This window comes from Homo sapiens, chromosome 9 (assembly GCF_000001405.40).
Source record: "Homo sapiens chromosome 9, GRCh38.p14 Primary Assembly".
NCBI lineage: Eukaryota > Metazoa > Chordata > Mammalia > Primates > Hominidae > Homo > Homo sapiens.
Genome location: NC_000009.12, coordinates 18,744,485 through 18,768,914, shown reverse-complemented (window position 1 = coordinate 18,768,914; position 24,430 = coordinate 18,744,485). Strand labels below are relative to the sequence as shown.

Here is a 24,430-nt window from a genome sequence, read left to right as displayed (position 1 = left end):
GTGTCTCCAGGGCTTAGAACCACTTCTACAAATGAATGTTCTCTCACCATACCCAATGGTAATAAACATGGAAAGGAAAATCCGGGACCCAGAGAGGTCTCTGTTACGACCAGTGGTTGTTTGGACCCCACCGGAGCAAACATGCCTTTTGTTTGCAGTTGTGAATGGCTTGAGGTCACAGAGCTAGTGGATAATGATGTTAGAAAAGCAATCAACTTTGTCTAGTTAAGCCTTTTAGTCTTAGAGTCTTTTAAATTATTAAAATCAATGGTGAGAAACCTTTATTTTTTTCATTTCAAATTTAAAAAAATAATTGAGTCCCCTAGGAAAAAGGATGTATTTTCTTAGTGCTGGGATCAACTACCTACCCATTGAAGCATTGAAGGCTAACAAAAAATGTGAAATGACCCTACAAGCTAGGTCTTATTTCCACTTTACAGAAAAAAAAAAAAAAAAAAAGCTGAGGCTCAGAGAGGTAAACAATCCAATGAAGGCCACACAGGGGCTAGAATTTGTTTATTGCCATTCATTGCAACATTTGCTAAGCTCCTACTGGACACCATGCTCTGGACGCAGCTGGAGAAAAAGTCCAAACTCAGCTTCTCTCCTCCGTGGTTGTAGCAACTCCTGCGTGCTTGCAGACCCAATGGAGGGTAGTGTGACCGTTGCTTCATGAGGAGGGCTCCCAGCCTGATCAGCACCAAGCCTGCCGAGAGCCTGGTCTTAGTCTTTCACCCAACTGGGCTTTGCCATTCAATTCTTAGCTTCCACTCTTGTGACCATCCCTGACTGGCAGGAGCCAGCCCATGATTCAGGTTGGAGAGTAGAATTTAAAGTAGTTCATCTATATTCTAGTGACCCTGGAAAATTTAAGGAGTTCTCCCTAAACTCTGATTTCTGAGAGGCAACATTTAAACATAGCTCTTAGACAATGCCATGAAGCTAGACCACCTGTTACTCATTACAAGTCCTACCAGCTCCTTCTAAGGGCTTTTCTAGTGTGTCGTTTGGGCTTGATTAAGAACAAAATCTATGGTCTCAGAGCTAATGATTCAAGTAACTGGCCTAAGCCTTTGTCTTCTTTGTGGCTCATTTCAGTGACTCTGTGGGCTCTTCTGTATTGAAGAAGCAAATTTTAATTTTAGCCCTCATTTGGTAGCAATTCAATAAGACATTAAAGGATTTCACTTCTTTAACTAATTTTGTACCCGCACTGCCTAGAATAATGCCTCCTGTGAATGTTCTCAATAAATGTCTGTGGCATTGAATTGAAGTTGGTACTTAGGAGAAATTTAAATTAGTGGCTAAGAATTCCATTTATCTAGAATAATCCTGTTGCTATGGATAACTAAGGTTTTAAATTTAGTTTTACAGTGTTTTGCATGATTTTTTAGGTTCGACCTTCTCTTACTGCTGTCAAATTCTTACATCGAACCAACAAGTTATACTATAATCAGATCAGTTCTAAACTTTTCTTGTTCATTCTTTCTTTTTATAAGTAGCCAACTAACCACGTGGATTACTGACTCCTAAGGATTTGCCAAATTTGGGGACTATATTCTCCACAATACTTTCCATTCTGTGAATTACTAAGATTCTTCCATGAACTTACTGTAATTTTTCTGAAACCACAATTGTTGGAAAGAAACAAGTTTGTGCTGATAAATCAAAAATTTTAATTTTAAGCTCTGACCTCTCCCCTATGCCTACTCAACATGTCCACTTAAATGCAAATAGGCATCTTGAATTAAACATGCCTAAAATGGAACTCTTAATACTGCCCTTCCAACCTCATCCCAAACCTACTTCTCTCTCAGTCTTCCCCATTCATTTAATTGTGCCACATCCAGGACAAAAACTTTGGCCCCTGAGTTTTTCCTTTTTTTTACCACCCTTCCCCTGACATCCAAGTCATGGCCAAATAAGGTCAGGTTTACTTACAAAACATATAAGCTATACTTCTAAAATAAATAAGAAATCAGCATACCATAATCCATCATCTCTTGCCTTTTATTGGTGCTTTGGTCTGAATGTCTGTGTCCTCCCTGCCACTCCCCTAAATTCACACGCTGAAATCCTAACTCCCAAGGTGATAGTATTAGGGGTGAGGACTTTTGGGAGATGATTAGGTCATGACGGTGGAACCCTCAAGAATGGGATAAGTATCCTCTAAAAGAGGTTCCAGAGAGCTGCCTTGCCCCTTCCATCATGTGGAGGACACAGCTACAGAGCACCATCTATGAACCAGAAAGAGGGTTCTCACTAGACACCGAATCTGCCAGCACCCTGACCTTGGACTTTCTACCCTCCAGAACTGTGAGAAATAAATTTCTGTCATTGATAAGCTACTCAGTCTACGGTATTTTGTTTTAGCAGCCGGAATGGACTAAGAAATAGCGTTTCTAGCAGGATATAGATGATACACTCAAATGTGATCATTTGAAAAAGAGTTCCTTCCTCCTGTTGGAAACCCCATATTGTCTTCTCTACACTCTATTCTCCACACCATAGCAAGAGTGACGTTTTCAAAGCATAAATGTGATCACACAATTTCCATGCTTAAAACCCTCCAATGACGTTCCCTTGCAATGAGAATATAATCTATACTCCTCTAACCCTGCCCTGCAAACCGCTACAGATTCTGGTTCCTGCCCTGGTGGAACTTAGACATTGTCTAGCTTAAATCCTTCCAACTTTATTAATTCATTCCACATAAATTTATTAAATGCCAATCATGAACCAAGCATGGTTCTAGCTAGGTGAATGTATAGCAGAGCAAGAGAAGCGTTGTACACCTCTGTAATCTTATATTTTACGACACCCCCCCTTTCCCTGTGTACTCCAGCCAGACTTTTTTTTTGTTGTTTTGTTCCTCAAACATGTCAAGCTTGTTTCTCCCACAGGGCCTTCGCATTTGCTGTTCTCTCTACCTGCACCATTCTTCTCTTAGATCTTCATGTGGCTGAGTCTCTTGAATAATCCAGGTTCAATTCCATTCTCAGCTGTGTGGAGAGGCCATCCCTAACCTTCCTACCTAGAGTAGTCAAAGCAGTCTCTATCACCATTACCTCATTTTATTTTTTATAATAGCTCTCATATTTTCAGAAATTATCACCCATTTAGACCATTAGCTCTATGAAGGAAGAGATTTTGCTTCTGTTGTTGCTCATATTAAGTGTTTGAGAATTTCACTTAAAACTTTTCCCCAGTATATCATTACATCTTTAATAATAAACATTAGGATTGAATGAATCCACCTCTAGTTTTCTTTCTTACACATGCTCTCTCCTTTTCCTTCTTTTAAAATTAATTATTTGTTTGTTTCCCAGTAAGGAAGTGGTCAGGGTATGAGCTGAACAGTGGAGTGACATTTTACAATAAGTTCTGGGAGTATATGGTGTTTTGATAATGATTCATAAATATTTACACTGTTGAAAATGCAGTGTATTTTTTTTCTCTGAGAGAAATAATAGCTGGTTCATAAAATTATTATCTCCTAAACCTCAAAACGACATCAAGCCACTTTTCATTTAATCCTTTGATTATAATTCACACTCAGATTCCTCATGGGTCCTATTGAGTCCTTCAGACATAAAGAACATGCTCCCAAAGTTTCTGTTACCCAGTGATTGACATTTTAGATACTTCACTAGTGATGCTGAATTTGTAGGAGTATGGATCTCTTCAATGGGTAGTGGCTGAAGTTTTCTTTTTTCTAAATATTTTTATGAAGCACATAGCTTCTGTTCAATTTGATAAATGCTCCACAATAAACAAGTAGTTAAATAAGAACAGTTCTCAGATTCAAGCTGTTCAGTTAGAGTTTCTTAGTGAATTTGGCAATAAAGAAAAATGTAGGTTAATTTTCTCTCTCTTTCAAATTGAGGAAGTAGATAATGAACATAAGTTGTCTTATTTCAAGGGTATAGATGTAATAAAATTGTACTATAGAGTGATTACTCATTGAAAATAACACAACTGGGTTATCAGTTTGCAGATAGGACTTGATTTAAGGCACAGACCTCCAACAGTATATAGGTATGTAACAACATGTTGATAAAACAGCTGCAAGAAAAGTTTTAAAAAATTGTCATTTACAATTTTGATGTATACATAAAGCTTTTAGGATATTATCAATGGTAAGAAGATAAAGTCTAGACTCCTGACAATGCCCTTCACTTTGATCTGCATGGAGCTTTCCAGCCCATTCCTTGACATACTGTCATGTGCCCATGCTTTAGCTACAGTGGACAATTTGCCCTTTCCTGGGCACACAGACACCTTCTCTGCTCTGCCTTTGATCATGTCATTCAGTCCATGAGCAATGCCTGCCAGCTCTTTGTTCACCCAGAGACTTCCAAGATGTGCTTGAAGGTCCAGCTCAAAAGCCACTTCTTGTCCTGGCTAGAGCAGTAAGACAAGAGAAGGATATAAATGGCATCCAAATTGGAAAGAAAGAAGTCAAATTATCCTTGTTTGCAGATGATATGATCTTATATTTGGAAAAACCTAAAGACTCCACAAGAAAACTATTAGAACTGGTAAAGAAATTTAAATTCAGTAAATTTGTAGGGTACAAAATCAACATACCAAAATCAGTATTTCTCTATGTTCAACAGTGAACAACATGAAAAAGAAATTTAAAAAGTAATTCCACTTATAATATCTACACACAAAATTTAAATACTAGGAATTAACCAAAGCAGTGAAATATCCCTATAATGAAAAGTTTAAGACACTGATGAAATAAATTGAAGAGAACATCAAAAAATGGAAAAATATTCCATGTTCATGGATTGGAAGGATCAATATGGTAAAATACCCTTACTACCCAAAGCAATCTACAGATTCAGTGCAATCCCTGTCAAAATGTCAAAAGCATTCTTCACAGAAATAGAAAAACAATCTTAAAATTCATATGGAACCACAAAAGACCCAGAATAACCAAAGCTATCCTAAGCAAAACAAAACAAAACAAAACAAAATTGGAGGAATCACATTATCTGACTTCAAATTATAATACAGAGCAATAGTACCAGCTATAGCATAGTACTGGCATGAAAACAGACATATAGACCAATGGAATAGAATAGAGAACCCAGAAACAAAACTACAGAGCTACAGTGAACTCATTTTCAACAAAGGTGCCAAGAACATACACTGGGGAAAAGACAGTTTCTTCAATGAATGGTGCTTGGAAAACTGGATATCTCTATGCAGAGTAATGAAAATAGACCCCTATCTCTTGCCATATACAAAAATTAAATAAAATGAATTAAAGACTTAAATCTAAGACCTCAAACAAAGAGGCTACTACAAAAAAAAATTGGGGGAATCTCCAGGACATTGGTCTGGACAAAAATTTCTTGAGCAATACCCCTCAAGCACAGGCAAATATGAACAAATGGAATCACAAGTTAAAAAGCTTCTGCACAGCACAGGAAACAATCAACAAAGTGAAGCGACAACCCACAGAATGGGAGTAAATATTTGCAAACTACCCTGACAAGGGAGTAATAACCAGAATATATAAGGAGCTCAAACAACTCTGTAGGAAAAAAATCTAATAATCAAAAGATGGGCAAAAGATCTGACTAGACATCTCTCAAAAGAAGACACAATGGCAAACAGGTATATGAAAAGGTGCTCAGCATCACTGATCATCAAAGAAATGCAAATCAAAACTACAATGAGATATCACCTCACCCCAGTTAAAATGGCTTTTATCAAAAAGACAGGCAATAATAAATGCTGGAGAGGATGTGGACCAAAGGGAACCCTTATACACTGTGGGTGGGAATGTAAATTAGTACAACCACTATGGAGAACAGCTTGGAGTTTCCTTAAAAAAGTAAAAATTGAGCTACCGTATGATCTAGCAATCATACTGCTGGGTATATACCCAAAAGAAAGGAAATCAGTGTATCAGGGAGATATCTGCTCTACTGTGTTTGTTGCAGTGTATATATTCTTTACAATAGCTAAGATCTGGAAGCAACCTAAGTGTCTATCAACAGATTAACTGATAAAGAAAATGTGGTACACATACACAATGGAGTACTATTCAAACATAAAAAGAATGAGATCCAGTCATGTGCAACAACATGGATGGAACTGGAGGTTATTATGTTAACTGAAATAAGCCAGCCACAGAAAGACAAACATCACATGTTCTCACTTATTTGCAGGACCTAAAAATCAAAACAATTGAACTCATGGACATAGAGAGCGGAAGAAGGATGGTTACCAAAGACTAGGAAGGGTAGTGAGGGGCTGAGGGGGAGGGTGGGATGGATAATAGGTATGAAAATATGTAATAGAATAAGACCTACTATTTGATAGCACAATAGGGTGACTATAGTCAATAATAACTGTAGATTAAAAAAAACTTAAAAAGAGTGTAATTGGGTTGTTTGTAACTCAATGGATAAGTGTTTGAAGGGATGGATGCCCCATTCTTCAAGATGTACTTATTTCACATTGCATGCCTGTATCAAAACATCTCATGTACCCCATAAATACATATACTATTACCCACAAGAATTAATTTAAAATAGGTATTTTTTTTAAAGGCCACTTCTTCATTAAAGCCTCCTCCAACCCCTCTGCATTTTGGCAAACAAATCACCTCCAACCCACCCTGACCTAGAAGGGTATCTTATCTCTTCTATAAGGGCTCATTGTTTATGTGCCCGCTATTTTCCTCTCCCTCCCTGCATGCACACAGGATTATGAGTCTTTTGAGGAAAGGGAATTCATTCATCTTTATATTCCCCAGAGCCTAGTAGAGTATCTGGCAAAGAGCATGCACTTCATAAATGTTTGTTGAATTGATGATTGGATGAGCAAAAGAGCTCCAAATCCAGATGTTAAAAAGATGTAAAACAGGCATCCAGCTGATGGGCTGATCATCTACCTTTTATCAGGCTGTTTTATCATTAGCCAGAAGCTGCTTTGCAGTAAGGCAGCAGTGGGTTTCACCCAGTGAAGGTGTGGGCTCTGCTGGAGAGTCTGACGCTCCAGGTATGGGAGGCAGCCATCTAGCTGAGTAAATGTCAGGGATTTTGCTCCTAAATGCTTATCTTGTCTGTGTTCTCAAATTTTCTTCAGTGTGTTTGCATTGATGAAAGGCATTTTTAGAAATTTTAAAAAATTGTAGAAGATGAAATTTGAAAGGAGTCAAGGCTCCAAAGTCTGTGATGACTTTGTGAATGTGCTAAGATGACCCGGTGAGGCCAACAGTTCTTATGCAAGAGGCAGGATGCAAAGAAAAAAATGTTTCCAAAGGAGCAATGGCAAGAGAAAATTAATGAAATTAAATAAAAAATGTTTGCCTTTATGAGTCATCATTTAAAATAATATTCTAGTATGAAGAGATAAATCTCCAGTAAGGGGCATTATTTTTAAATATATGTAATAAGCAAAATACATAAGAAAAATAGTATCTATATTGCTTATACCAGCTGCCATACACGTTTCATGATATGAGGTCATGGGTTCGTTTTATAAGAAAAGTAAAAAATACACAATAAGGAAAACAATTACGTCTCTACACAAAAAATACAATGGCCCAAGTGTCCTGTACTTTTAAAGATTTTCCCATGATAAGCACATTAATAAATTCTGCCTGTATTGAAATTTCTGGTTTCTTCTTGGTAGTTTAATTTACTGAGAGCTGAGTTGATTTCCTTGATATTTTTACTAACATTATTGAACCCAACACAAAGTGATGTTTATGTTTTGTTTGTAAGGCCAACTTTTCATTTAACATAATGGACTCTGCACTCTGCTTACAACTTCCAACTCACTTCACTTGTTTCTTCATTCACTCATTCATTCTTTCACCAAACATTTATTGAGTACCCACTGAGTGCTAGGCACTGTATTGGATGCTGGGGATTTATAAAAAATGGTTACTAAGCCTCAGATATTTGCAGTCCAGTGAGGGAGAAAAACTTACTATACAATGTGATCAGTTTTACAAAAAGGGAATACAACAAAGAGTGCAATTAAATCTCTCTGGGAAAATTAGGGAAGCTCTAGACAGCAGTGACACATGAGCAGTTTCCAGGGAGATGAGGATGCTGGCATAGCAAGATTGTGTGTACGCACTGAAGGTGCAAAGGGACATGGCATGTTCTGATGACTCAGAGCAGTCCTTAGACGGTGCACCATTTGGGTCCATGAAGAAGAGTAGGTGGAAAATTATTCTGAGACATTAGATTAGGAGCACATGGTGAAGTGCCTTTGGACATAATCTTAAAACCATGAGGTATCAATAGGGGTTTCAAAGTAGGGGGTAACATGATCCAATTTGTAGAAAATGACTCAGGCAGCATAGGCCAGTAAGTTCCAAACAATACTGCTTTGTGAGGTATTAATAGGTGTGCCATGGAGAAAGGGCTTCCTGGTAAAATAAGTCTATGTAACACTGCATATCATAACCCTATGCAGGGGTTCTCAGTGCATATTTATATGCATATTTATATTTTAAAGGCTTGAAGAGAGAACCTGTGGTAAAGAATCATCAATACCAAGTTGGGAAACACTGGATGAGAGTTAGGCAAGATGAGACAAGGAGATCAAGTAAAAGACTGTTTGTAAGGGTTTGATGAGTTGATTGTAAGGAGAGGGATTAGAAAGGAAGAGAGTGGTGGGGGAGATATAGAAGATGGAATAAAATAGGGTATAGATGTTGACAAAGCGTGAAGGATGCGTGAGGCTCATAATGGCTCAAGTTTCCAGGTAGAAAGCAGGACAGATGGTGGTGTCACCTACTTGATAATGATCAATGATGAAAGACCAGGTTAATGGGGGAAGGGGTGGCAGGCAGGTATGTATTAAGCTTGGTGTTAGACCTTTGGAGTTTGAGGTAACTTAGAAACATGTGAGACTGAGGGAGCCCAAAGGCAGTTAGACACGGTGCTATGCACACAGTCGAGGTCATAGCTGAGCCAAACTGAATTAGGGCCTAGAGAAACAAAGAAAAATGAGAACTGGAATCTCACTTACTAAACATAATTATTAAAATGAGAACAGAAGTCTTACTTCAGCCATTTTGGGGATTAGAATTCCCTTGTTCATCTAGTCTCAAGCTTTCTTGACTCTGGAAGTACAAGGGGTGTACACTGTACCTTCAAGGTTTTACATTCTTGTTATGGTGTGAAGCAAGCAGCTGCACATCCATCAAAATCAGGGCAATTATGCCAAAGAACTTCCTGCTAATAAATACAAACAAAAACAACCACATGTGAAGCTGGACTTTCAATTTGTTTTGCTATGTTTATTGCTGCCTCAAAAGATAGGATCAAGTGTCCATTTCCTTATGAAATACACTATTGAAAATGAGATAAACATCCTAAGAGTTTTTTCCTCCCTGGGACAGAAAATTTTAAATAAATATAGCCTCTAACTTATGTGGATTTACATTTTAGTCACTGGAATATAACAAAACTGATTACTATGTGACTCTGCCAGAATTCAGTTCTCTAATCCAAACCAAAGGTATTTTTGTCTTTGCTTGAAGGTATGTATGTATGTTTAAATCTAGAAAATGAAAACTTTAATTCTCAGGCATTTATAGTTATCATTAAAATTCTCTTTTTCTTTGTATCACTAGCAGGGACTCCTCTCCCTTATGCTTTTTTACATAGTTGAACTGCAGGCATTTTCAATTGTGACCCTGATTAAGAAAGGTTTAGAGGGAAATGGCAACACTGTCACAGTTTTAAGCAAGGCAGGGATCCAGAGATTGTGGCAATTGTTTCTGTCTCTGCACAGATGTGTGCAACATGTGTGTACAGTTGGGTGGACGCAATCTTGAACATAAAACATATGCAATATAGAGAAATATAAATTGTGTTTCAAAGTGGACCAATTCTTTTCAGTTTAACCCTTCAGCACCTTTTTTCTTTAATTCCTTGTTTCAATTTAATTTTTAGAACAAAAACAAATGAAGGAATATTGATGCATATGATATATACATTGATATATTAGATATAGAGAGGCAAAAGGGTAGTGGAAGACAGGTTCCCAATCTCAAGGAGCTTGTGCTAGTGGGGACTAAGTGCTTCACTCACAATATAGCAGGTGGTGATGGGCTGAACAATGGCCCCCGAAGATATCTTCATCTCAATCCCCGGTACTTGTGAACACATTACCCTGTGCATAAAAGGGTCTTTACTGATGTGATGAGGGCTTCTGAGAGGGGGAAATGATCCTGGATTATCCAGGTAGGCTTGAGGTAGTCACAGTGGTCCTTAGAAGAGGGAGGCAGGAGGGTCTGAGTCAGAGAGAGAGGATGAAGGGACAGAATTAGCAGTGGGAGGAAGATGGAGGAAGGGGCCATGAGCCAAGGAAGCATATGGCCTGTAGAAGCCAGAAAAGACAAAGAGACCCTCCCCTTGATCTCCAGAGGGCACGCAGGCCTGCGGTTCCCCTGAATTTAGCTAGGTGAGATTGAGTTGGGACTTCTGATCTCCAGAACTATAAGAGAGTAAGTTTGTGTTGTTTTAAGCCACCAAGTTTGTGGTAATTTTTTACAGCAGCAATAGGAAGCCAACGTACAGATGAACTGTCCTGGATAGAGGCAACAAATACCGAGTGTTCTGTAAACTGCTGATTTTAGGACTGTTACCAGATGTCTTCACAGTTTAACAGTTAAGAGCAGATAGTAAAGAAGTCTTGGGAAAGCCATACTGCATAGTGAAAAAGAAAATGAGTTTGAAGCACACAGGGCCCCTTTCACATTTACCAGCCTTGTGACTTGGTTTCCTCACTAGGTTGCTGTGAGGCTCAAGAGAGGCCAAGTGCAGCGAATGAGTGTTAAAAGAGAATGTTCAAATTCCTATTAAGCTCACAATACTTCAGGTTCCTCACATGCAAAATGGGGATAATATTAGTAACTATCACATAGGATAGTGAGGATTAAGTAAGTTAAATATGTAAAGTGTCTAGAGCTGTGCTGAACACAGAGAAAGTGATGCTCTCATTATCAAAAGCAGCAGCTCCTGAAATGTAGCAAGTATTCAATAAATGACACCAGCAGAATGGGCATGTACCTTTCTAACACCAAAGTCAACGCTCTGCAGATGTGTCCTGGGAGTTATGGGGTCTGAGACTTGGTCTCTGCCTTCATTGACCTTGTGGTCTAATTCAGAAGTCATGAGAAAGCACCTGAGTGGGTAACGTGGTTGTTAAGTTAGCTGTCTGCCCCTGAACACCATGTGGCTTCAGTGTAGAAGGATAATAGAAGAGTCACTGCAGAAGAGGGAGGCTCTCTGCTGGGCCTTGACCAGCACAGGGGAGTGGGAAATGGTAGGCGGGCAGGGGAGTATACAAGCAGGGATGGGAGAGCCATGCCTGGAGACAGGGCAGGGACAGATGCGCAGAGGGATGAAGGCCTGAACAAGACATGTACTGGCTTTAGAGTCACTGAGAAAAATCCTAGCAGTAGACTGTCATGATCAAAGTGTTTCAGACTAAATTGTGGTATAGGTAACAGTGATTCTCAATCACAGTGTTGTAACTCACCCGTGGGATATGATCCCTTATGAGGTGTGCAATAAGTTACTTATAACCAACACCAAAGAGGAGGAGGAGGAGGAGGAGGAGGATGATGATGAGTGTATTTAATAAATTGCAGAAGATGCAGAGGACTACATGCACATAAAATAAGTGTTCAAAAGCTGTCTAAATATAAACTAACAAGATATTAAAGCTATTAATAAATTGGTAAGGATAAATATGAAATGAATCCTTCCCACAGACCAGAGAGGAAAAGCAAAGGGCAGAGTATTAAGAGGAAGAACTGAAATAAAAATGGTCCCCTAACAACCAAAGCTAGAATTAGATTTCTGTTTCATTTCTGCTTAATTTCTAAAACAAGATCTTAACATCAATACTTGAACTCCATGCTAGGTCCTCTCCGGACCTGCAGAATGTGTAAATATTGGCTATTTGCCATTTGTCAGACAAATACTCTACAAAGAACAAAGAAGGTTGCATTCCTATCTGGCAGATGACAATTTACATAATTTATGTTTTCTTCCCCCCAGAAAGAGAAACATACACATGAGGTCAGTGGTAACACTGTGTTCACACAGAGAGGAGAGAGAGTTTCTCCCCTCAAACGGGCAATGTCTATCAGGTTGTTATCTGTATTCCTTTAAACGAAACATGTGATCCCCCATCTCCTTTTCTTCTGTAAGAAAGAGGCTGTAGGTTGGGTGTTGAAGGATTGGAGACCTCAGCAGTATCCTCTGGCAGATCCTTGCTAAATGGAAAAGACCAGGTGAGTGTACACCAAGTTCCCTTTTCCCAGTAAGAATTGCTGAGGAATCAGGGCTAACCAGGCAATGGATTTTCAACAGCTGGTGTCGTAACTAAGCTGAGTTCTAAAACCACAGCCAACTAGCCTAGGGATCCCTGAAGTTACTCTGGACTTATTGCACCATACAATATAAACAATGGTTTCTTCTCACAAGCAGTCAGCAATAGCTAATTTTTCCCAACAAAACTTAGCCAAAGAAGTTGGATTCCAGTAAATAATGTAAGACAAATAGTTTATTGTTTACTCCAGGTTTAGAGATTTCTAAAAGTGATCAAAGATTTTTTTTTTTTTTTTTTTTTTTTGTCGAGACAGAGTCTTGCTCTGTCACCCAGGCTGGAGTGTAGTGGTGCAATCTCGGCTCACTGCAACCTCTGCCTCCTGAGTATGAGTGATTCTCCTGCTTCAGCCTCCACAGTAGCTGGGATTACAGGTGCCCGCCACCACACCAGGCTAATTTTTGTATATATATATATATATATATATATATATATATATATATATATATATTTTCAGTAGAGACAGGGTTTCACCATGCTAGACAAACAGACCCTATGCACCAAACCATTAACAGGGCTGTCTCTGGAGGGTAGAAACACTGCTGACCTTCTATGTTCTTTATTTCTTGTTATGTTTGACTATTTTTCACAATTATTGTGTCTCAGGTGTGAAAGAAGAGACTTTTTAAAGGTCCTATTAAACTGTAGTCACTGATGCATTGGATGAACTTCAAACAGTTGTTTACTATTAAGTTTCCCAACCTGAAGAATGAACTTAAACCTGACTCATCCTCAAATGCTTCTCCCAAAAAGAAGGAAATAGAAAAGCTTTCAAAGTAAATTCATATCTTCGCAGGCCCAAAGTAGATGAAAATTTAAGAATAAGTGATTCTTTGGAAGTCCACTGTTTCAAATAGGGATGCTGGGCATACAGGTGGTGGTGATGGCAATTGACCAAAAAAAGGTCATATATATGGCTGTGCCCTAAAAACTGAAAAAGCATCATGAGTCAATGTCATTATTCAGCAGCACGTGTGGCTATCAAAAAGACATTGATGTTTCACTGCATTTCAAGACTAGGACGATATTAAGACCTATAACCATAAAAAACATATCAGGAAGATGTAAAGTCAGCATTTTCAGGGCCTATAAGGAGCATTCTTCATCTATTCATTCATTTCATCATTCAGTAAACATTTTATCCATAACTTATGTACCTAATAGCAACAAGCTACTAATAATATGGGGACTTAACAATTTCAACAGTGGAGGTTGATTTGAGATGGTTTCTCACCTTTTATTAGGATTGGCATGGGTTAGTGGTGCCGTTTAAGGTCATAGATTCACTCCAATTAGAGGTAACTTAGTATAAATGCACTAGCAATCAGGTGACCTGGGTTCTGGTCCAGGTTTTATGATCTTAAGGAAGCCTACATCTAGGCCACAGTTACATCATCTGTAAAACAAAAGTGCTCATGTTTAATCCCTGAAAGGCCTTTTAGCCATACACAATAGGTTTGGTATAGTGGAAAGGGTCACATAAGACGGAGTTGATAGCCAACCCTAAATTTGCTAGCTGTGTTTGCCTCAGTTTCCTCAAACCTAAAGTAAGGCTAATAAAACCTTATTTTAACTGAATTGTTGTGAGGATTTACTTCAGCTTGGTGAGCGATAATATACATTTCTTAAGCGCTGGTACATTGGTGTTCAAAATATATGACATCCTCTTCCACAAACCATCCATAGTATCATGGAATTAATGAACTTAGCCATATACATTTAAGCTCTAAAAGAAAATATATATTTAATGTCTGTTGCCAGAGGCTTCATACTTAGTGTTTTGCTTATTCATCAGTATTTGATTCTTTGAGTGTTTTACTAAACCACAGCTCCAAGATGGGCAAGGAGCAAGGAGAAGGGAGGGGCTCTGCCAAATGATTAGGAGAAAGCACAGAGGACACGTGGCTGCCTGGAAATGGGAGACCCTTCTGCACAAGGCAATGGTATGTGAGCTGTCGTCCTCTCTCCTTTTCCACTGATGACTATATCCTTTATCACCCAAATTGGGACACTTTTGAGAGTGAAGAAACTGTCTCAGTGAAACAGAGATGTATGTCTCCTCCACCTTTCATGCTTACTTTTGTGGCCTTTGTTGTCCCTTTAAAGCAGTGTCTTATGTCCTAATAGGGAGCAAACTGCAAAATAAGATTGTATGCAATCAACCTAAAATCCTGTGTTTTTAAAAGGCATGCAAAAATATTAACGTTTGATAAATGCATATTATTTTTAGATAGGAAATTATGATAAAATAGTTGTGTTATTATTATATATGCCTGGTGCAGGATCAGAAATTTTGTTTGTAAAGGGATAGCACATATTTTAGATTTTATGAGCCATATGTTCACTATCACAACCACGCAATTCTGCCTTGTAGTGCAAAAGCAGCCATAGACGGTACGTAAAATAATGGGTGTGTTCCAATAAAACTTTATTTACACACGCAAGAAAGGCTACAGGCTAGATTTAGCTTGAGGGCTGCAGTTTGTCAACCCCTGTTTTGAAACAGTGGTTCCCAGACTTTTGGAATTCACAGGACCAGGAAAATAAAAATACTTGGAATTGGCTCAGCATTTCTAACTTCTTATATTGCTAAGTAATGATGTTAAAAAAAATCATTGCCTACTACCCTTATTTCTTAGAATTTTAAACAGCAAAAAAACTAGAAAGGGTGTAAATTAAGAACAAATTTAGCTTTATGGCAAACCCACCACATTGTCTTGATTTTAAAAAATTTTCCTTAGCTTTGTGACAGCTTTGTCATAAATATGCTCAGGTTAACAGATGGGTCATCTGCATTGCTTTTGGAGGTCACTGGGGTGTGATACAGTAGAAAAAGCATGATATTTGTAATTAAAAGATCTGGATGTAAATCAGGTTAGGGGAGTACTAAGAAGGGAGAAATGAGCAGATCTTGAACATCCCTTTAACATCCCTGGACAAAACCACTCTGAGAGAGCATCCCTTTTTTGAGTCACTGTTGCAAACAAAAGCTCCAATATTGAGTAACTTCAGAACTCACCGGCTGCCACTGTGCAGGGTACCAGGCTGGGGGGCAATTAAAGCGGTTACAAGCTTGCACCGTGCTGGGCTTGGGCTGGCGACACAGCTCATCAGCCAGGATGACTGTTTCATTCATCTCTCTGGAAAGCAGGTGGCTGCAGAAGACGTCTCTGGTCTGTAGGCCGACCCCACATGTGAGACTACATGGACTCCACTTGCCAATTTCCCACCTGAGAAGAAATCAGAGAGGAAGAGGACACACCCTTAGTACCTGTGCAGAGAATGTTTCCCATGAACTCAAATGGAGTTAAAACCCCTAACTGGGAAAGTGGGAAGTGCCAGCCCAAGATTGGCTGGCAGCTCTATCTTAAGCCTAGAATCTATCCTCTCCCTTAATGCTCTAGAATTCATTTACATTAAAGCAAAGAGGGAGATAAAATGGAATATCCAATTTTTACCCACAAAATCACCAATAATGGTTACAACCATGTTTATTCTGATGGCACATATAAACTTCATCAAAATAAGAGGGAAGTGCTAAATGAGACATAGATTGAGTACATAAAGGCTTTGGGCACCACATACTGAATTGTGGGGCTTAAAGAGGACTTTCTGCTAATTTCTCCAGCCCCAATTCTTAGCAAGACTGAAAATTTTATGCTTGTAATTCTTTGGCTTCAAAGTGAAAGGTCATTGGCTCCAGCTTCCTTTAAAGTTCCATTGCTGCATAGAAACGTCTCTGTCTTACGTTTAAACATCATCACTGCCTGGGACTGGATAATGTAACAGAAATGAAGGCTGCTCCATCGATCAGTCTTTTTGAAGGGAAGTAAAGTGAAGAGAGTGGCTCATTATCTGGATGTAGCACTCAAATACGCAGATGAGTTGAGTGCACGAACTGGCCATTTCCAAAGGGCCAAGACTTGAGAAGTACGTTTATAGTGAGCTAAGGGCCTATGAAAACAATCCCACTGCATTTCCCTGCTGATGCAGCCTACAAACTGGGAATGATAAGGACAAAGCTCAGTGGCTCAGGCTGTACGTCAGAAGCATCTTCTAAAGATCAGTTTTAGAAAGTTCTGTTTACAGTCTGAGGCACAAAGATTTTACAAACAGGAATTGGCCAAGAAAACATGGTAAGTAGATCCTCTAGTAGCTAGTCCCACCTAGCTTTTGTCCTGAAAGTTGGTTGAAAATTTTTTGGCCTTAATGTTTTTCATCAGACTGTAATATTAAGTGTATGCACTCAATCTTTTCCTACTGCTCTGACATGTAACTAACTTTCCAACCTGTTTCCACTACCTCCTTTCATCTACACTAAGCTTAGCCATATCTGTAATAATCTGTTTGTTATTCTCCAGTTATGCCCCATGGTTTTCTAGTTGTGTCTTTATGCAAGTTGTATTTCTTTTTTTTTTTTTTTTTTTTTTTTTTTTTGAGACGGAGTCTCGCTCTGTCGCCCAGGCTGGAGTGCAGTGGCGGGATCTCGGCTCACTGCAAGCTCCGCCTCCCGGGTTCACGCCATTCTCCTGCCTCAGCCTCCCAAGTAGCTGGGACTACAGGCGCCCGCCACTACGCCCGGCTAATTTTTTTGTATTTTTAGTAGAGACGGGGTTTCACCGTTTTAGCCGGGATGGCCTCGATCTCCCGACCTCGTGATCCGCCCGCCTCGGCCTCCCAAAGTGCAAGTTGTATTTCTAATTTGGAATATCTTTTGCCCTTTCCTTGCCCTTCAAAATGTCTTTCATTTCTATATATCCAAATATAATCCATATTTAAAACACTGTATCCATACTTGCTCCAGACACTGACCATTTTCTCAGTTGTATTACAGTTATTCTACCTGTCAAGGGCACTGCTAGAGTGTATACCTCCTGATGTAGGGCCCGCATCTGAGTCAGTTTTGTATTACTTGCAGGGTCCATCAGAACACCTTTTAGATAGTTAATGTTATTGGTTAAATGAGCAAATCGATGAGACCTCCCATCATAGAGGGCACCTTAACACATTATCTCATTTAATTGCCTCCAGAACAATATGAGATAAGCTCTATTGATTACCTTCATTTTACAGTTGAGGGAACCTGGAAATCCAAGAGGCTGACTTGTCCAAGTACCCCTAATTAGTAAGTAGTGAATCCAGGATTCAGACTTGGTTGTTTCTGGCTCTAGAGCCTCTGCACTTTCTATTGTACCATGCTGTCTCCAAAAAATACCTTGAAAACTCTATGGACATTTGCAAAGTTTTAAATGAATAGAAGAAGAGAAGCTGGCTTGAATTTATTTCTTTTAGATCCTTGTGTAAATTTCTATAAACTTCTCTTATTTTTAAACCCTTAGATTGAGTTAATTATAAGCTTTAAAACATTGTGGTGTTATTGGTTTTAAGATACATCCATACATTCTTTGCCATGCCTTCCTTCCAAAGGTGAAGTCTTGAGTATGGGCTAGACTTAGTGGCTCACTTCTAATGAATAGAATGAGGCAGAAGTGATGCTATGTGACTTCCAAGGCTAGGTCACAAAAAGGATAATGCTTCCAATTTGATGCTCTCTCTTTGCCCACTCACGGTGGTGGGGAAGCCAGCCACGATGTCATGAGAATACCCAGAGAGTCTTAAGGAAAGTTCGTGTGTGAAACTGCAGCCTCCCCACCAATAATCAGCATCAACTTGCCAGCCATGTGAGCGAGCTACCTTGAATGCAGACCCTCCAGCCCCAAGCTTGCCTTTAGATAACTGCAACCTCAGGAAAGACCTCAAGCCAGAACTGCCTGTCCAAGCTGCCTCCAAATTCCTCACTCACATGAACTGTGAGAGGTGATCAATGTTTATTGTCACTGTTAGCTACTAGGTTTGGAGGGAAATTTGTTATGCAGCAATAGACAACCAAATACAAGTATATACCTCTCCCCAATTTGCATATATTCATCAAAAGACATATGCAAGAATATCCATGGCAGCACTGTTCATAATAGCCCAAACCTGGAAAAACCCAAATGTTCATCAGCACATGAATGAATAAAAAATTATGATATATTCACACAAGATTATATAAAGCAATGAGAATAAACTGCAACAATAAGCAACAACATAAATGAATCTCACAAACATAAAATTGAATGAACAAAGCCAGAAACACAAAAATTGATACTGTGTGATTTATATCATAAGCTCAAAAGCCAAAACTAATCCACTGTGTTAGGAGCCAGAACATTGGTTACCCTCGGTGGGTAAAAACTAGAAGAGGAGTAGAGTGGGGTGGGCTTCTGGGGTGTTTGCTAGATCTAGGGGCTGGATCTGGGTCCATTTTATGAAAAGTCACCAAGTGTACACATAGGATTTGTGTGTACTTTCCTTACAGGTATTATGCTTAAAAAAAGGTTTTCTTTCCACTCAAGGGAAATACTAAAATGTTGTGGGTGTAAAACAAAATCTAACATCCATGGCCAGTGCTGGTGAACCCTCTTTGTATGTCTTATAAAATAGCTGCCTACACAGCTAATTCTGTCCCAAGGTTAAGCTCATCAAAGTAGAGGCTTTACATCCTCACTTCCCCAAACTCTGCCACCATTTCTGGCAGAAATTTAGCCCCTGGGACCTTGAAGCAGAGGCCTTTTGGCAGCCATGAGGCCACTTGAGCACTGCTCAGAAAAACTCACAAAACAGACATATCTGCCTGCCCTGATAAAAGTGCACTGCATTCTCAAGGACGGAGGTCAGCAGAAGCTGTCTGTATATTAAGGACTTTGCTGATTCTGGGTAAAAAATATTGTAATCAACTTAGGCCAATGAAGGGAAAGCAGAGACTCTTCCCTACTTCTCTTTTGCAGAGAGCCTGCAAGTGTGGGCCTGGGTCTTGCTGGGGGCTGATGCCCTATTCCGTGCGTTCTGTGCCTTTGGCTGTTTCTGAGAGAGGAAATGCAGGCCAGGCAGAGCCGGCCTGGGGGCAAGGTTGGCTATGAGTGGTGGCCTGGGATACACTTAGAGTCTTTCTCTGAGGTTCTGGGGCCTGGCTTCTGCAGAAGCCTGGTGCAAGGAGGACAGGGGATCTGGTCTAGGCATCAGAGAGTGAGGGCATTAGTGCCTTTTTCCCCTCTTTGCTTGGCTTTTATTCATCTTTTCCTTTCCATTTAAAATGCTACTTCTTCAGAGAGGAAACCCTCAACTGGGTAAAATTCTCTTACTGTATGGTCCCATTAATACTTCCCCCTTTGGAAATTCTCAACATACTTGTAATGTGACTTCCCCACTCGACTGCTAGCTTGATGAAAGCATGGGGCTATGTCTATTTTGGTTTACCACTTGTTATGTGTTGACCTGTGTCTCCAAAAAAAGGTATGTTGGAGTCCTAACCCTTAGTACCTCAGAATGTGACCTTACATGGAAATAGAGTCACTGTAGATGTAATCGCTTAAGATGAGGTCAAACTAGAGTAGGGTGAGCCCTTGATTCAATGCGACTGTGTTTTTTATAAGAAAAGAGGGAGACACACAGGCAAAATGCCATGCGACGACAGAGCCAGAGACTGGAGCGATGCATCTACAAGCCAAGGAATGCCGAAGAGTGCCGGGAGCCACCAGAAAGTAGAGGAAGCAAGGAAGGACTCTCCTTATAGGTTTCAGAGGGAGTACAGTCCTGCTGACACCTTGATTTTGAACTTGATTTTGGCTTCTATGACTGTGAGACAATAAATTTCTGTTGTTTTAAGCCACCTGGTTTGTGGTACTTTGATATAGCAGCTCTGAATATGAATACACGACCAGAACCTCAGTGTTGAGCATGGTGCCTGGGACCTGGCAGATGTTCAGTAGTATGCAGTGAAAAACTGAGTTGAATTTGCAGTGAACTGTGTGTGCACTTCTGGATTAGTCACATGGCTGGTGGACATCTTAGTTATGTCCTCTACACAACTGTTTACTCCCAACTTCAAGGTCCCAGGAGCTCTGAACACCACACATTTTCCTTCAGTGTGGTGTAAACTCTTTTCGTGACAAACTGGATCTGAATTGACATGCTTTTGACAGGCTGCATCCCACTTTGTGTAAATATTTATACATTTTACCACAGCAAGATTAGCTTGTTGGATTATGGTGTTTTTCCCCCAGAAATTGCTAGGGGTGTTATACAATTTATGTCTTAGTAATCCTAACATCTTTCTAAAGTACAAAAAAATTTGGAATCTGAAAGACATCTGCCCCAGTGGTTTTGGCTAAAGGATTGTGTCCCTAGATAAGGAGGGTGGTAAACATGACTGCTATGGTTTCTTTCAGCTCCTAGGCTTCAGGTGTTTAGCTTCATGGTTGGGCTCTTGGCCAAAATATTTGGGAGGCTGGTTTCCCCAGCATTCTTTTACTATACTGCTTTCTTTCCTCTGAGCCCTTCTTCTCCCTGTTTCTGTCCCCTTTGTCAAAACCTGATTGCAGGAAAGCCTCCATGAGTTGACAGATCAAGCTGAAGCCCTCCTGGCTTGACCCTGCCCAGTACCTGAACAACTGACTTCTGACCAGGGGCAGGCAGGAGACATAGGGTCTCCCTCCACCTTAATGGCTGGAATTAGTCTTCCTGCCCTTTGCCCAGCCTCAAGTGTGCCTGGATTGGCCTGTCACTTTAACTGGATTTTAAGCTTTCAGCTTGGCTTCCTAATTGCCACTTTGTTTCCCGGACAGTGCTGGAGTTCTGCCTAAAGTCCAGCCTACTAGACTGTGGTCCTGTCTCTCTGCCTGGATCTGGCTAGCCCTTGAACTTGGGCTGGGCAGAGCACCCTTAGCCATGCATGAGCTAAAAACTGTGACGTGACCACAATCCAGCTGACATCACACATGGTCACCAATAACAATAGTAATACTAACATTTATATCGTACTTAAATGAGCCAGATTCTGTGCTAGTTGCTTTAAATGCATTATTCCTGTCCACAGCTTCCTGAGATAGGTACTATTATCCTCTCTATTTTAACAAGCAGGAGCTGAGGCCTGGAGAATTCAAATCATGGCCCAGAATGCCTGCTGCTGGGTATTCCTCAATGCCATGCCACCAGAGTCACACCCAAGTCCACCATGACATGGACATAAAGGCACCGAGAATGGGGCTGCTTCTTATCATGGGACCAGCTCTGTGGATTTATGAACCTCAGTTCTGCATGATCCGAGCCTCATTCACTGAGGTCTCAGCAGAGCCCAGAACTTAGCTTACCTAAGATGTGGGAACATATATTGACTTATTTACTAGTGATAAAGGTACTGTAAGTTTCCCCATTTTACAGGATCAGCTAACAGAGACTCTGAGAGGTTAGGTAACCTGTCCAAAGTCACACAGCTCGTAAACAAGAGAATCAGCATTCAAACTTAGGCGGCCTGGCTCCTGCATGCCTAATTATTATATTATACTCTCTCTTAAGGTCAATAGAACAAAGTATTAATAGACCTGAGTGGCAAATGCTGGGCTTCCTGTGCTTATAGTTTCAGAAAATCACAAGTGACAAAATGACAGATCTATTTCTAAATAATAGAAACAAACACACTGATACCACCCAGGGCCATGAATCCACTTGCAGTTGTTATTTCAGTAAAGCAGCAGTGTACTTGGCAGCCAAATGGGCAAAGGCAGAGTGTGGTCTTCCCCAAGTGTTAGTTTTTTGTAAAGGCAGCCATCAGGGTTAATATGGGTAATCAACGACCCATGATGGTTGACCCTTCTTGGCAGCTTGTGTTTGTATTAGCTATACAAAAGGAGGAATTTTTTTTTTTTTTTTTTTGCCTTCCTTTGGACAAGGGCTCATTATGTGAGTTGCCAAGGTTTTGCTCCTCTGCTCTTTCAGAGAGGGTGATGACTGTTGCCTCCAGAAACTCATTGTTTATTGCTGGTATAAATGTTCATAATTTCTAATGGCAGACCCTTCCCACCCTGAGCTATTATGCCCTAAGAACCTTCTTTTACCTCGACTTTTGCAGCAAAGTTTTTCTTTAGTCAGAAATGTAAAATGAAGTTTTGGTTAGGAGCAAACTGAAGTTATTGTAAACTGAAGTTATTTTTTAGAAGTATTCTTTAAACTTGTGTGACATTTCTGCCCAACACTTCTGTCCTGTGATTTTCTTGTCTTCCAAAGATATTTGTTTCCCTTAGAATGCCTCTGAGGTCGGGAGGTGGACAGCAATCTGACAATAATAAACTAGACACCACTAAGTGTGCCAACTCTAGAAAGCCTAAGGAGGGGCACGTACAGGGTCTAGGATGCATCTCCCTTCAGGATGCATCTCCCTTTCAGGTTCTTGGACTGTCATTAGTGGCTCCCAATTTATCTCTAAATCTCTCAGTTTCCAATTTCTCCCTAAGGCCACAGCCACCAAAATGTCACTCAAAAATGTGAATCTGGTCACCTTACTTTGTCTGATTAAAAACCTCCACTGGTGTCAAGCTGAGCTTTCAGTGGAGGTGGGGAGCTAGTATGTCCAGGGCTCAGCCTTGCTCCCTGGGGGCAACGGGGCACTGCATGTCTGGAGTTGAACTTTCAAACTGGCCTTTCCTTCTTCTTCTTCCTTCCTTTCCTCTTCCACTTTGTAGGGACTGAACTTTAGTGTGAGGTTTGGTGGGGAGTGGTCCTCTGGCCTGGGACAGGGGTCAGCGCTGGGCCAGGATGGCTGGGAGTCAAATATTCAGGGAGGAGTGAACAAACACATAAATACATAAAAAATAATGGGAGCCAGATTTCTTACTGTCAGAGGAGAGAGTTACAAATATGTGAAGTGGAAAGACTAAGATAAATCTAGTAAAATTGAATTGCTGTTGCAAACAGTATGAACTCATGGTTTTTAATAGATGGATAGACACAGATATATCAACAGATATAAATGAGTATATACAACTATACATATATGTGTACAGTATTTCCTAGTTCTCTCTGAAAGGCCTAGAAGCAATGACATCCCAGTAGTATCAAGCAAATCGAGTGCCCAGATCTTGGGTTCTAAATACCATTCTCCATTAAAAGGAATCAATTTCTGTAGAAATAGCTGACGTCTGGGCAGGAATTGGGAGAATAAAAAATGAGCCTGAAATAGTATGTTGTACCAGAAAATTGAGAAGTGCTCAAAGAATGATGGGGTATATGTCAAAAGGGCATAGGGGCCAGCTTGAAAGGGCTTTTGCTGGTCCTGTCTGGGACAATTTGATAGTAATATATTTTAATCCTTTGAGCAAAGTGGAAATTCATAAATAAATAAACCAGAGAGAAGAGAAAACTACCTTAGAGTAGAATGCTTATTAATAATCTAGAAGGAATGACAGAATTTATAAAGTTACCATTTGGCAATCATCATAATAATAATTGACTCAGGCAGTAATCATCAATCAATATTAAATCTAGTGGGTCAAAGGTTAATGATGAACAGGATATCTACTTAGCTCATATTGTCCCCCATAAAATACTTCTTTGTTACTTATTAAGTGCTACATATTTATTAATTTTACAGTGGAAACACCTGGCTGGCCATCATCTTAACCAAGTGATAAGAGTGAACATCACCAGTAATGAGACACATCATCATCATCTGTCTCCTGATATGAGGTACTAAGAAGAACATAGCACACTTCTGTGTTATTTCTGTCAAAAATTCAAAAATCACAAGAAAACATCAAGCAAACACACATGGAGAGACGTTTTACAAAGTAACTGACCTGTACTCTTCAAAAATGTCAACTATATGAAAGATAGAAGACTGAAGAAATCCCCCAGATATTGAGGCATAATACAGGACCTTGGGCTCTAAGATCGGATTGTTTGCGAATGAATTGTGCTCTGCCACCCTGCAGTTGAATAATCTCGGGGAAGTTACTTAACAATTCACTCATATTTAAAATGGGAATAATGGCAATACCTACTTCCCAGGGCTGTTATGAGGTTCAAGTGAGAACCTCCATGTAAAGGGTGAAACCCAGGGCCTGGTACAGATGAAGGGCTCTGTAAGTATTAGCCAATATGAACTTTTATTACTGCATGCTCAGTAAATGTTTGTTGAATGCAGAGATGATTATTGTGAGGATGGGAA

The 24,430-nt window shown here is 39.9% G+C and overlaps 1 protein-coding gene across 16 annotated transcripts in view; it reads right to left on the bottom strand.

Moving 5' to 3' along the window:
• The window catches only part of ADAMTSL1 (ADAMTS like 1), a 1,004,318-nt gene that overhangs the window by 142,036 nt on the left and 837,852 nt on the right, over positions 1-24,430 (bottom strand). For all 16 annotated transcript variants that reach the window (XM_011518064.4, XM_017015312.3, XM_011518063.3 and 13 more), the window contains one exon: positions 15,407-15,617. In XM_011518064.4, the coding sequence (XP_011516366.1) occupies positions 15,407-15,617 (211 nt within the window). The remainder of the gene's footprint in view (positions 1-15,406; positions 15,618-24,430) is intronic.